This window comes from Homo sapiens, chromosome X (assembly GCF_000001405.40).
Source record: "Homo sapiens chromosome X, GRCh38.p14 Primary Assembly".
NCBI classification, from domain to species: Eukaryota; Metazoa; Chordata; class Mammalia; order Primates; family Hominidae; genus Homo; species Homo sapiens.
This window is the reverse complement of record NC_000023.11, coordinates 115,878,922-115,892,341: the sequence shown is the minus strand read 5'-3', so window position 1 is coordinate 115,892,341 and position 13,420 is coordinate 115,878,922. Positions and strand designations below refer to the sequence as shown.

General features: G+C 58.7%; 2 long non-coding RNA genes across 3 annotated transcripts in view, besides 5 other annotated features; one reads left to right on the top strand and one right to left on the bottom strand.

Moving 5' to 3' along the window:
- DANT2 (DXZ4 associated non-coding transcript 2, distal) overlaps positions 1 to 13,420 on the top strand; it is a 128,716-nt gene that overhangs the window by 76,770 nt on the left and 38,526 nt on the right. The window lies entirely within an intron of this gene.
- DANT1 (DXZ4 associated non-coding transcript 1, proximal) overlaps positions 1 to 13,420 on the bottom strand; it is a 64,564-nt gene that overhangs the window by 13,186 nt on the left and 37,958 nt on the right. The window lies entirely within an intron of this gene.
- Positions 3,100 to 3,622: an enhancer, noted in NCBI's record as "H3K27ac-H3K4me1 hESC enhancer chrX:115005053-115005575 (GRCh37/hg19 assembly coordinates)". NCBI's record gives its function as "activates a minimal SCP1, AML or CMV promoter by ChIP-STARR-seq in naive and primed H9 embryonic stem cells {active_cell/tissue: H9 hESC(naive and primed)}" and the evidence as "EXISTENCE:reporter gene assay evidence [ECO:0000049][PMID:30033119]".
- Positions 3,623 to 4,146: an enhancer, noted in NCBI's record as "H3K27ac-H3K4me1 hESC enhancer chrX:115004529-115005052 (GRCh37/hg19 assembly coordinates)". NCBI's record gives its function as "activates a minimal SCP1, AML or CMV promoter by ChIP-STARR-seq in primed H9 embryonic stem cells {active_cell/tissue: H9 hESC(primed)}" and the evidence as "EXISTENCE:reporter gene assay evidence [ECO:0000049][PMID:30033119]".
- Positions 4,147 to 4,669: an enhancer, noted in NCBI's record as "H3K27ac-H3K4me1 hESC enhancer chrX:115004006-115004528 (GRCh37/hg19 assembly coordinates)". NCBI's record gives its function as "activates a minimal SCP1, AML or CMV promoter by ChIP-STARR-seq in naive H9 embryonic stem cells {active_cell/tissue: H9 hESC(naive)}" and the evidence as "EXISTENCE:reporter gene assay evidence [ECO:0000049][PMID:30033119]".
- Positions 4,670 to 5,193: an enhancer, noted in NCBI's record as "H3K27ac-H3K4me1 hESC enhancer chrX:115003482-115004005 (GRCh37/hg19 assembly coordinates)". NCBI's record gives its function as "activates a minimal SCP1, AML or CMV promoter by ChIP-STARR-seq in primed H9 embryonic stem cells {active_cell/tissue: H9 hESC(primed)}" and the evidence as "EXISTENCE:reporter gene assay evidence [ECO:0000049][PMID:30033119]".
- Positions 8,891 to 9,436: an enhancer, noted in NCBI's record as "H3K27ac-H3K4me1 hESC enhancer chrX:114999239-114999784 (GRCh37/hg19 assembly coordinates)". NCBI's record gives its function as "activates a minimal SCP1, AML or CMV promoter by ChIP-STARR-seq in primed H9 embryonic stem cells {active_cell/tissue: H9 hESC(primed)}" and the evidence as "EXISTENCE:reporter gene assay evidence [ECO:0000049][PMID:30033119]".

Sequence of the window (13,420 nt, the reverse complement as noted above, 5' to 3'; positions counted from 1 at the left end):
TCCTTCTCCACCTGTACTCAGGGAGCTGCGACTCAGAGTCAGGAGTCCCTGCCAAATTGACCAGTGTTTCATTTAGTCATTCCTCATCTTCCCCACTGTGCCCCTCCCTGTGCACCCAGCCCTATCCACATTTTTTATATATTAATTATCTCATTCACCCTCCCATTAAGCAAGTGTGCCTTGCCAAGAACCAGGCGCATGCTCACTGACACATAGCTCTTTTCTGTTGTCTCTGCCTCTCCCTAGGGGTGATTTCTGGAAAACCTGTAGGATGGGTCATGTCATTTGCCAGCTTCTGCCTTCCTTGGTTTGTGTTCCCTGGTCTGCACTTTCCCAAAGACCAAGGAGGACATCTCAAAGCCCAGACCTTCATTCCTTTTTTATTTTTCTTACACCTACTAGATGAAAACTGCTGCTTCCTACCCTGTGTTTTTCACGTGTGAGTTTCCCTACAGGTTAGATTGTTGTAATATTTGGGCAAAAACTCTTGGATCCAACCGATTTTATATTTGCCAAGCTCCAAGGCAGCATCCAGACCTAGAAGATCTGATCAGTCCCTAGCCCAAGGCTGTGAGATTAGTAGTTTGAGTGTGCTCCTTTGGCGTGGGCCATCACCATAGGACAGCTGAACCCACAGAACATACAACACCATGAGTGTGAATCCAAATGTCCCCAAGAGACAAACCAGGTCATGCCCCTAGAGATCAGGGAACAGGGCAACCCTGGAATTTTCCCAAACTGAAGTAAACTCTCAATGTAGTCCTAGGTCTCTCGACTCTTCAGGATGATGTCCTACACAACATCAACAACCAGTGGGTACCCTGTGCCCTAGGGAGAAGACTGACAGAATGGCATCCTGTGGCACCCTTGACCCAGCCTTTCTTTGAGGGGAGCAAGAGGAAACCAGACAATACTTGAAATGCAATGCACCTGGGTTACCATTTCTTGTCTCAGTGCAGTACCCAATAATCAGGAAATTCTCTCTCCTCTTTACAAGAGATAACGCCTGATAATGTGGCCACTACCACCGCCCCGTTATTTGGCTAGGCCTGGGTCCTCCAGATGAGACATTAGTTCTCAGGTTTTACATAGCCCCAAGACCTCCAGGGCAAGGATCCCTCTCTTCCCCTAACCTTGTTTCTGCACTAAGAGCAAAGATCCATAGTCTCAATGCCCTGCAGTAGCTTCAGCTCCCAGTTTCCAAACATGGCGGCCAACAAGGCCTGACCTCCACCACCTCTGGGACCTGACAGGCCTTGCAGCCCAGGGCTCCTTGGTGGATGAGCCTGGTTCCCTCGCTTTCACACCAACTCTGAAGGCACCCACTCAGGTGCCCATGTCCACCTCCAGAATTCTCTGAGTGTTCCATACCTACCCTGTTACCTAACATACCTACCCTGTTACCTAACAGAAGTATGAATATACAGAGAGGGGCCAGAAGCCATACTCAAAAAGCTTCTGCTTGATGGCCCTTTTGCTCCAGTAATGCCAACCACTCTGGCCTGCCAGACCTTTCCCCTTGCCTTTTGTCCTAATCCAAAGGGAGTCCCAAAACCAGTCCAAGACCTTGAAGTGGGATTTACTCTGCTTGGGTTCTCGGGGTGAACTGGTATCCCTTTCTGTCATGCTCTCAGTGGGAAATATAAATGTCTATGAAATAATTCATCAAAACGAATAGCTGTATTGATCTATTCCTGAGCACACTTTTGGGTTTATATGGGTTATCTTAAGTAGAATTGTTTCTTTCACGAAGACACAGACTCATAGCTTGAGATGGGCCAAGTACCTGGATTTTACTCTTATCCTGGAATTATTGACACTTTCCTGTACTCATAGATCCAGGCCAAGCCCAGTTCAGCAGTCTGACCTACCTTAAAGGCTTAGGAAAGGGAATGATACCTGATTGAGGGATAGCAGGAATTAGCAGGGGTCACATCAGGAGAAAAGACTGGGATAATTATGCCTTTGCTCTCCTCCATTTGTCTCAAGTTTCGTTAGGTAGAATGAAGTGGCTGTGAAGCACGCCTTGCTTGTTATTTTTTTTACCACCACACTCTCTGCTGCAGTAACTGCCTGGGCCTAGCACCCGACATAATCTTCTTCGCCATATTGGACACTATGATCCAATCAACATAGCTAGGGAATTTCTTATTTTTAAATTTATAGTGATGAAGGATGATGCCGTTTTGTATCCCTGTCCACTTGCCGAAGGAGATGTTCAAACTCCCAGGGGATCGATTAGGCATACAAGTCATATCAAAAAGGATATTCCTCGCCATTTACAGACTCCTTAGCCCGCACGACTTTCTTTGGGATATCAACCACATGGTTTCTGCTCCCTCTCACACTCTATCGCTCCCTCTCTTGCCACATTCGGACCCAACACTCTCTCGCCCACTTCTACTTTGCGCGATTCCTGTCTTATTCTGTCTCAACGTCATAGGGTTTCCTAGACTATCCAGGAATTCCTGCCGACGTAGGCAGGTACCAGAGGCAACTGAACGCGTGAGACATAGAGCAGATGAGCTGAGAGGCAGCAAGAGAACTACGCAAGAATCCGATCACACCCTCCGCTTCTACGACGACCACCAACACCACCCAGAAGCCAACTTCCGAGATGCCCCAAGCCAAGATCAGGCAACACTCAGCTGAATGTCATCCCGTACCTCTTCGTCACAGCGGACCGCGGTCACGCTTAAATGTGCATTGAAGTGGAAGGTGAATGTCTCTTTGCATGGCAGTGTCTCTGCACACGGGAGAGGAGGGGCACACGTATCCACCTGGCTCAATATCTAGCTGTATTCAGGTGGAATAGAGAACCATGAACCCTCTGGACCTTTTCTGCTTTGGTCCTGTGCTTTTAACGTCTCAGGCCTAAGAGGCCCACCGAATCCTTCTGCCTTGCTTCAGTACATTTAAAAAGAAAAAAAAAGCAGGACATTCCACCTGCCACCTCCAGAGGGTCCTCTAGGATCCTTCTCCACTCCTGAATTGAGCGAAGCGGTGCCGACCTCCACCCTTTGGGCACGAGCCCCTGTGCACTTGGGAGACTCCTGAACACCCTCGGAGAAGCCAGAAAGCCCCGGGAGATGGCTCCGTCTGCTGCTGTACCAGACCGGGTCCTGCAAAGGATGCATCCTCCGAGCCTCCTCCCTGAACGTCCAGTGGGGCCTGCCCCGATTCTACCTGAGGGACCCACTGGAGGAGAGGCACGGGGATGCTGCCTGAGCAGCGGACCCTTCTGGCGCGGAGCAGGCTGTCCCCAGGCAGAGTCCGACGGGTCCTTCCTTCTGGGTGCCCCCGGCTTCCCGGACTCCAGCAGGCCTGGGAAGGCCCCGGGCCCCCTTAGCCGATGCCCAGAGAGTCTCCATTTCTCAAGCTTTGCCACCGAACTCATCGGTCGGTGCGCCTCTGATCGCAGGGCAAGGGCCTGCGCACCCCCAAAGACAAGCGGGGTCCCCGGAAGGCCCCCAGGCAGAAATGAGCACCACGGGGAACGGCCCGCCTCCAAGACAACCTCGGGGACATGGACACAACAAGACAGGGTGGCAAGTCTCAACAAGGCGGGTGCGCGGCGTCTGAGGGTGGCCGGGCCGGGCCGGGCCGGGCCTGGCCTTGCGTCCACCTCGTCAAGAACCGTCTGGGTACGGGCCCCGCGGGATGCCCCGCGGCCCACCTTCCTCCCTAGGACGCAAGGAGGAACGCCCCGGCGCCGGCCAGCAGCGGCGGGCACCAACGCCAATGGCCACGGAACTCAGCACTGGCAGTCGGCCCTCCTCACACCGCAGGCGTGCAGTGTGGCCGACGGAGCCTCCCGGGCCGAGGACCCAGCTAGGCCGTCACCCCGGTTGCTCCCACGGGAAGGGGCACCAGGCAAACTGCCCAAGGCCCCGAGCCCAGGCTCCCTGGCGGAGGCCTCCGCTGGTCCCGCCCAGATCATGGCCGCCACCAGGCTCCCGAGCCGTGGCTTCCTGTCCGGGAACGGCCCGGCGTCCTGGCTGTCCAGCTAGTCCTGGCGCCTCTCTCTGGGGCTTCCACCGCCCGACCCCGCGGCGGAGCCTGCTTCTCTCGGACCTCCAGAGACCTCGGATCCGTCCCGAGCACCTGCCCTAGTCCTGCCTGGTCCCCCAGGACAGTCCCAAGCCACTCCTCCCCAGGCGAGCACAGCGAAGGGTGCGCGGGATTGCCAAGCCAGTTCCTCTTGATGACAGTATTGCTCCAGAAATGCCCACCTGCCCTTCCCCCACGTCCACTCCCTCCGCCCTTTGCTGAGGAAAAAACGCCAACAGCGCCCCGCACATGGCGGATCAGCATCTCGGCCGCTTTGGGCCAGCCCTGGCCCACCTGCGGGACCCTGTCCTTGGCAGATGGGACTCGGCGGGACCCTTCTTACTAGCCTGCCTTCCTGACAAACCAGAAAGCGGTCCCCTTGGACCGCCCTGGGGATGGACCCGACCTAACCGCATCCCTAACGATGCGTTAGGATGGGAGGATGGTGGAACCCGCAGGGACGAGAAGGAGACTGGGCACACACTAGGATCCCAGCCCCGGCCCTGCCCCCCGGGACACATTGGCACTTGGGCATTCTCACGGGTCACGGCAAGGCCAGCTTGACCAAGAGGTCAAAGGCGACTGGCGTCCCACTGACCGCTGGGGGTTTGGCCTCAAACTTCAGGTGAACCCACAATTCCGGAATAGCGGGACCGGCACCCGGGCCCTTCTCACGTGGCAGCACCGGCAAGGGGCTGGGGGAAGAGCCCACGCCAGCCTACGTCACGCAGGAAGGGAGCCAGTGGCCACCCCAAACACACCTCTCCTCCTCACACCTGGCCTACGTCCAACTCTCCACGGCTCTGCCCAGAAGGCTGCACGTACAACACACACAGAGGCGGGCATTTCCCTGACGACTCGTGTGTGCCGTGGGGGAGCGGTAGATGGCCCAGCCCCAAGTGTTCCGATCTTCCTGCCCAAACATATTCTGTGACGGAAAGCCTATGTTGACCTCGTCCGGCACTCAAGGCGTGGGCAGCGGCCTAACGTCTGCTGCGGGAACACAGTCGCGTTGAATGCTATTCTCAAGACAGACAAAACAGTGGGAAGACACTACGCCAAGCTGCTAACTCCCTGGCCATTGCCGGACTCTTTCACCCCCATGGACTTTCCGCTGGCATTTTAAACAACATAGTTTCTTTTCTCTGTCTCTTTCTCTTTCTCTCTCTCTTTCTCTTTCTCTCTCTCTCTCTCTCTCTCTGTCAATCTCATAATTTCTCTCTCTCGTGCCACGTTCCCACCCAACGCTCTCTCGCCCACTTCTACTGGGGCCCACTTCCTCTCCCGCTCTCTCTGTCTCAACGTGATTGACTTTCTTGTGCTGCCCAGGACTTCTTGCCCACGTGCGCCTTCAAAACGGTAAGAGCTGCAACTGAACGTGTGAGACATGGTGCAGATAGGCTGAGAGGCGGCGGGAGAGATGCCCATGAACTCAAGTACCCGGACACGCCCTCCACTTCTACCACCACGAGTAACACCGCCCCCACGGGACCGCTCTCGAGGTCCCCCAAGCCAAGGTGAGGCAAGTCCCAGTTGAATGTCATCCCGTTCCTCTTGGGCACGGCGGACCGCTCTCGCCCTTAAAGGTGCGTTGACGTGGAAGGTGAATGTCTCTTTGCGTGACAGTGCCTCAGCGCACGGGCGACGAGGGGCACACCTATCCCCCTGGCTCGCTCTCTAGCTGGATTCAGGTGGAACGGAGGACCATGAACCCTCTGGACCTTTTCTGCCTTGGTCCTATGCTTGTAAGGTTTCCGGCCTAAGAGGCCCATCGACTCCTTCTGCCTTCTTTCAGTTGATTACAAAATAAATAAATAAATAAATAAATAAATAAATAAAAAAGCAGGACATTAAACCTGCCACCTCCAGAGGGTCCTCTAGCTTCCTTCTCCACTCCTGAATTGAGCGAAGCGGTGCCGACCTCCACCCTTTGGGCACGAGCCCCTGCGCACTTGGGAGACTCCTGAACACCCTCGGAGAAGCCAGAAAGCCCCGGGAGATGGCTCCGTCTGCTGCTGTACCAGACCGGGTCCTGCAAAGGATGCATCCTCCGAGCCTCCTCCCTGCACGTCCAGTGGGGCCTGCCCCGATTCTACCTGAGGGACCCACTGGAGGAGAGGCACGGGGATGCTGCCTGAGCAGCGGACCCTTCTGGTCCCCCAGGACAGTCCCAAGCCACTCCTCCCCAGGCGAGCACAGCGAAGGGTGCGCGGGATTGCCAAGCCAGTTCCTCTTGATGGCAGTATTGCTCCAGAAATGCCCACCTGCCCTTCCCCCACGTCCACTCCCTCCGCCCTTTGCTGAGGAAAAAACGCCAACAGCGCCCCGCACATGGCGGATCAGCATCTCGGCCGCTTTGGGCCAGCCCTGGCCCACCTGCGGGACCCTGTCCTTGGCAGATGGGACTCGGCGGGACCCTTCTTACTAGCCTGCCTTCCTGACAAACCAGAAAGCGGTCCCCTTGGACCGCCCTGGGGATGGACCCGACCTAACCGCATCCCTAACGATGCGTTAGGATGGGAGGATGGTGGAACCCGCAGGGACGAGAAGGAGACTGGGCACACACTAGGATCCCAGCCCCGGCCCTGCCCCCCGGGACACATTGGCACTTGGGCATTCTCACGGGTCACGGCAAGGCCAGCTTGACCAAGAGGTCAAAGGCGACTGGCGTCCCACTGACCGCTGGGGGTTTGGCCTCAAACTTCAGGTGAACCCACAATTCCGGAATAGCGGGACCGGCACCCGGGCCCTTCTCACGTGGCAGCACCGGCAAGGGGCTGGGGGAAGAGCCCACGCCAGCCTACGTCACGCAGGAAGGGAGCCAGTGGCCACCCCAAACACACCTCTCCTCCTCACACCTGGCCTACGTCCAACTCTCCACGGCTCTGCCCAGAAGGCTGCACGTACAACACACACAGAGGCGGGCATTTCCCTGACGACTCGTGTGTGCCGTGGGGGAGCGGTAGATGGCCCAGCCCCAAGTGTTCCGATCTTCCTGCCCAAACATATTCTGTGACGGAAAGCCTATGTTGACCTCGTCCGGCACTCAAGGCGTGGGCAGCGGCCTAACGTCTGCTGCGGGAACACAGTCGCGTTGAATGCTATTCTCAAGACAGACAAAACAGTGGGAAGACACTACGCCAAGCTGCTAACTCCCTGGCCATTGCCGGACTCTTTCACCCCCATGGACTTTCCGCTGGCATTTTAAACAACATAGTTTCTTTTCTCTGTCTCTTTCTCTTTCTCTTTCTCTCTCTCTTTCTCTTTCTCTCTCTCTCTCTCTCTCTCTCTCTCAATCTCATAATTTCTCTCTCTCGTGCCACGTTCCCACCCAACGCTCTCTCGCCCACTTCTACTGGGGCCCACTTCCTCTCCTGCTCTCTCTGTCTCAACGTGATTGACTTTCTTGTGCTGCCCAGGACTTCTTGCCCACGTGCGCCTTCAAAACGGTAAGAGCTGCAACTGAACGTGTGAGACATGGTGCAGATAGGCTGAGAGGCGGCGGGAGAGATGCCCATGAACTCAAGTACCCGGACACGCCCTCCACTTCTACCACCACGAGTAACACCGCCCCCACGGGACCGCTCTCGAGGTCCCCCAAGCCAAGGTGAGGCAAGTCCCAGTTGAATGTCATCCCGTTCCTCTTGGGCACGGCGGACCGCTCTCGCCCTTAAAGGTGCGTTGACGTGGAAGGTGAATGTCTCTTTGCGTGACAGTGCCTCAGCGCACGGGCGACGAGGGGCACACCTATCCCCCTGGCTCGCTCTCTAGCTGGATTCAGGTGGAACGGAGGACCATGAACCCTCTGGACCTTTTCTGCCTTGGTCCTATGCTTGTAAGGTTTCCGGCCTAAGAGGCCCATCGACTCCTTCTGCCTTCTTTCAGTTGATTACAAAATAAATAAATAAATAAATAAATAAATAAATAAATAAATAAATAAAAAAGCAGGACATTAAACCTGCCACCTCCAGAGGGTCCTCTAGCTTCCTTCTCCACTCCTGAATTGAGCGAAGCGGTGCCGACCTCCACCCTTTGGGCACGAGCCCCTGCGCACTTGGGAGACTCCTGAACACCCTCGGAGAAGCCAGAAAGCCCCGGGAGATGGCTCCGTCTGCTGCTGTACCAGACCGGGTCCTGCAAAGGATGCATCCTCCGAGCCTCCTCCCTGCACGTCCAGTGGGGCCTGCCCCGATTCTACCTGAGGGAGCCACTGGAGGAGAGGCACGGGGATGCTGCCTGAGCAGCGGACCCTTCTGGCGCGGAGCAGGCTGTCCCCAGGCAGAGTCCGACGGGTCCTTCCTTCTGGGTGCCCCCGGCTTCCCGGACTCCAGCAGGCCTGGGAAGGCCCCAGGCCCCCTTAGCCGATGCCCAGAGAGTCTCCATTTCTCAAGCTTTGCCACCGAACTCATCGGTCGGTGCGCCTCTGATCGCAGGGCAAGGGCCTGCGCACCCCCAAAGACAAGCGGGGTCCCCGGAAGGCCCCCAGGCAGAAATGAGCACCACGGGGAACGGCCCGCCTCCAAGACAACCTCGGGGACATGGACACAACAAGACAGGGTGGCAAGTCTCAACAAGGCGGGTGCGCGGCGTCTAAGGGTGGCCTGGCCGGGCCGGGCCGGGCCGGGCCGGGCCTGGCCTTGCGTCCACCTCGTCAAGAACCGTCTGGGTACGGGCCCCGCGGGATGCCCCGCGGCCCACCTTCCTCCCTAGGACGCAAGGAGGAACGCCCCGGCGCCGGCCAGCAGCGGCGGGCACCGGCGCCAATGGCCACGGAACTCAGCACTGGCAGTCGGCCCTCCTCACGCCGCAGGCGTGCAGTGTGGCCGACGGAGCCTCCCGGGCCGAGGACCCAGCTAGGCCGTCACCCCGGTTGCTCCCACGGGAAGGGGCACCAGGCAAACTGCCCAAGGCCCCGAGCCCAGGCTCCCTGGCGGAGGCCTCCGCTGGTCCCGCCCAGATCATGGCCGCCACCAGGCTCCCGAGCCATGGCTTCCTGTCCGGGAACGGCCCGGCGTCCTGGCTGTCCAGCTAGTCCTGGCGCCTCTCTCTGGGGCTTCCACCGCCCGACCCCGCGGCGGAGCCTGCTTCTCTCGGACCTCCAGAGACCTCGGATCCGTCCGAGCACCTGCCCTAGTCCTGCCTGGTCCCCCAGGACAGTCCCAAGCCACTCCTCCCCAGGCGAGCACAGCGAAGGGTGCGCGGGATTGCCAAGCCAGTTCCTCTTGATGGCAGTATTGCTCCAGAAATGCCCACCTGCCCTTCCCCCACGTCCACTCCCTCCGCCCTTTGCTGAGGAAAAAACGCCAACAGCGCCCCGCACATGGCGGATCAGCATCTCGGCCGCTTTGGGCCAGCCCTGGCCCACCTGCGGGACCCTGTCCTTGGCAGATGGGACTCGGCGGGACCCTTCTTACTAGCCTGCCTTCCTGACAAACCAGAAAGCGGTCCCCTTGGACCGCCCTGGGGATGGACCCGACCTAACCGCATCCCTAACGATGCGTTAGGATGGGAGGATGGTGGAACCCGCAGGGACGAGAAGGAGACTGGGCACACACGAGGATCCCAGCCCCAGCCCTGCCCCCCGGGACACATTGGCACTTGGGCATTCTCACGGGTCACGGCAAGGCCAGCTTGACCAAGAGGTCAAAGGCGACTGGCGTCCCACTGACCGCTGGGGGTTTGGCCTCAAACTTCAGGTGAACCCACAATTCCGGAATAGCGGGACCGGCACCCGGGCCCTTCTCACGTGGCAGCACCGGCAAGGGGCTGGGGGAAGAGCCCACGCCAGCCTACGTCACGCAGGAAGGGAGCCAGTGGCCACCCCAAACACACCTCTCCTCCTCACACCTGGCCTACGTCCAACTCTCCACGGCTCTGCCCAGAAGGCTGCACGTACAACACACACAGAGGCGGGCATTTCCCTGACGACTCGTGTGTGCCGTGGGGGAGCGGTAGATGGCCCAGCCCCAAGTGTTCCGATCTTCCTGCCCAAACATATTCTGTGACGGAAAGCCTATGTTGACCTCGTCCGGCACTCAAGGCGTGGGCAGCGGCCTAACGTCTGCTGCGGGAACACAGTCGCGTTGAATGCTATTCTCAAGACAGACAAAACAGTGGGAAGACACTACGCCAAGCTGCTAACTCCCTGGCCATTGCCGGACTCTTTCACCCCCATGGACTTTCCGCTGGCATTTTAAACAACATAGTTTCTTTTCTCTGTCTCTTTCTCTTTCTCTCTCTCTTTCTCTTTCTCTCTCTCTTTCTCTTTCTCTCTCTCTCTCTCTCTCTCTCTCTCTCTCAATCTCATAATTTCTCTCTCTCGTGCCACGTTCCCACCCAACGCTCTCTCGCCCACTTCTACTGGGGCCCACTTCCTCTCCTGCTCTCTCTGTCTCAACGTGATTGACTTTCTTGTGCTGCCCAGGACTTCTTGCCCACGTGCGCCTTCAAAACGGTAAGAGCTGCAACTGAACGTGTGAGACATGGTGCAGATAGGCTGAGAGGCGGCGGGAGAGATGCCCATGAACTCAAGTACCCGGACACGCCCTCCACTTCTACCACCACGAGTAACACCGCCCCCACGGGACCGCTCTCGAGGTCCCCCAAGCCAAGGTGAGGCAAGTCCCAGTTGAATGTCATCCCGTTCCTCTTGGGCACGGCGGACCGCTCTCGCCCTTAAAGGTGCGTTGACGTGGAAGGTGAATGTCTCTTTGCGTGACAGTGCCTCAGCGCACGGGCGACGAGGGGCACACCTATCCCCCTGGCTCGCTCTCTAGCTGGATTCAGGTGGAACGGAGGACCATGAACCCTCTGGACCTTTTCTGCCTTGGTCCTATGCTTGTAAGGTTTCCGGCCTAAGAGGCCCATCGACTCCTTCTGCCTTCTTTCAGTTGATTACAAAATAAATAAATAAATAAATAAATAAATAAATAAATAAATAAATAAATAAAAAAGCAGGACATTAAACCTGCCACCTCCAGAGGGTCCTCTAGCTTCCTTCTCCACTCCTGGATTGAGCGAAGCGGTGCCGACCTCCACCCTTTGGGCACGAGCCCCTGTGCACTTGGGAGACTCCTGAACACCCTCGGAGAAGCCAGAAAGCCCCGGGAGATGGCTCCGTCTGCTGCTGTACCAGACCGGGTCCTGCAAAGGATGCATCCTCCGAGCCTCCTCCCTGCACGTCCAGTGGGGCCTGCCCCGATTCTACCTGAGGGACCCACTGGAGGAGAGGCACGGGGATGCTGCCTGAGCAGCGGACCCTTCTGGCGCGGAGCAGGCTGTCCCCAGGCAGAGTCCGACGGGTCCTTCCTTCTGGGTGCCCCCGGCTTCCCGGACTCCAGCAGGCCTGGGAAGGCCCCGGGCCCCCTTAGCCGATGCCCAGAGAGTCTCCATTTCTCAAGCTTTGCCACCGAACTCATCGGTCGGTGCGCCTCTGATCGCAGGGCAAGGGCCTGCGCACCCCCAAAGACAAGCGGGGTCCCCGGAAGGCCCCCAGGCAGAAATGAGCACCACGGGGAACGGCCCGCCTCCAAGACAACCTCGGGGACATGGACACAACAAGACAGGGTGGCAAGTCTCAACAAGGCGGGTGCGCGGCGTCTAAGGGTGGCCTGGCCGGGCCGGGCCGGGCCGGGCCGGGCCTGGCCTTGCGTCCACCTCGTCAAGAACCGTCTGGGTACGGGCCCCGCGGGATGCCCCGCGGCCCACCTTCCTCCCTAGGACGCAAGGAGGAACGCCCCGGCGCCGGCCAGCAGCGGCGGGCACCGGCGCCAATGGCCACGGAACTCAGCACTGGCAGTCGGCCCTCCTCACGCCGCAGGCGTGCAGTGTGGCCGACGGAGCCTCCCGGGCCGAGGACCCAGCTAGGCCGTCACCCCGGTTGCTCCCACGGGAAGGGGCACCAGGCAAACTGCCCAAGGCCCCGAGCCCAGGCTCCCTGGCGGAGGCCTCCGCTGGTCCCGCCCAGATCATGGCCGCCACCAGGCTCCCGAGCCATGGCTTCCTGTCCGGGAACGGCCCGGCGTCCTGGCTGTCCAGCTAGTCCTGGCGCCTCTCTCTGGGGCTTCCACCGCCCGACCCCGCGGCGGAGCCTGCTTCTCTCGGACCTCCAGAGACCTCGGATCCGTCCGAGCACCTGCCCTAGTCCTGCCTGGTCCCCCAGGACAGTCCCAAGCCACTCCTCCCCAGGCGAGCACAGCGAAGGGTGCGCGGGATTGCCAAGCCAGTTCCTCTTGATGGCAGTATTGCTCCAGAAATGCCCACCTGCCCTTCCCCCACGTCCACTCCCTCCGCCCTTTGCTGAGGAAAAAACGCCAACAGCGCCCCGCACATGGCGGATCAGCATCTCGGCCGCTTTGGGCCAGCCCTGGCCCACCTGCGGGACCCTGTCCTTGGCAGATGGGACTCGGCGGGACCCTTCTTACTAGCCTGCCTTCCTGACAAACCAGAAAGCGGTCCCCTTGGACCGCCCTGGGGATGGACCCGACCTAACCGCATCCCTAACGATGCGTTAGGATGGGAGGATGGTGGAACCCGCAGGGACGAGAAGGAGACTGGGCACACACGAGGATCCCAGCCCCGGCCCTGCCCCCCGGGACACATTGGCACTTGGGCATTCTCACGGGTCACGGCAAGGCCAGCTTGACCAAGAGGTCAAAGGCGACTGGCGTCCCACTGACCGCTGGGGGTTTGGCCTCAAACTTCAGGTGAACCCACAATTCCGGAATAGCGGGACCGGCACCCGGGCCCTTCTCACGTGGCAGCACCGGCAAGGGGCTGGGGGAAGAGCCCACGCCAGCCTACGTCACGCAGGAAGGGAGCCAGTGGCCACCCCAAACACACCTCTCCTCCTCACACCTGGCCTACGTCCAACTCTCCACGGCTCTGCCCAGAAGGCTGCACGTACAACACACACAGAGGCGGGCATTTCCCTGACGACTCGTGTGTGCCGTGGGGGAGCGGTAGATGGCCCAGCCCCAAGTGTTCCGATCTTCCTGCCCAAACATATTCTGTGACGGAAAGCCTATGTTGACCTCGTCCGGCACTCAAGGCGTGGGCAGCGGCCTAACGTCTGCTGCGGGAACACAGTCGCGTTGAATGCTATTCTCAAGACAGACAAAACAGTGGGAAGACACTACGCCAAGCTGCTAACTCCCTGGCCATTGCCGGACTCTTTCACCCCCATGGACTTTCCGCTGGCATTTTAAACAACATAGTTTCTTTTCTCTGTCTCTTTCTCTTTCTCTCTCTCTTTCTCTTTCTCTCTCTCTTTCTCTTTCTCTCTCTCTCTCTCTCTCTCTCTCTCTCTCAATCTCATAATTTCTCTCTCTCGTGCCACGTTCCCACCCAACGCTCTCTCGCCCACTTCTAC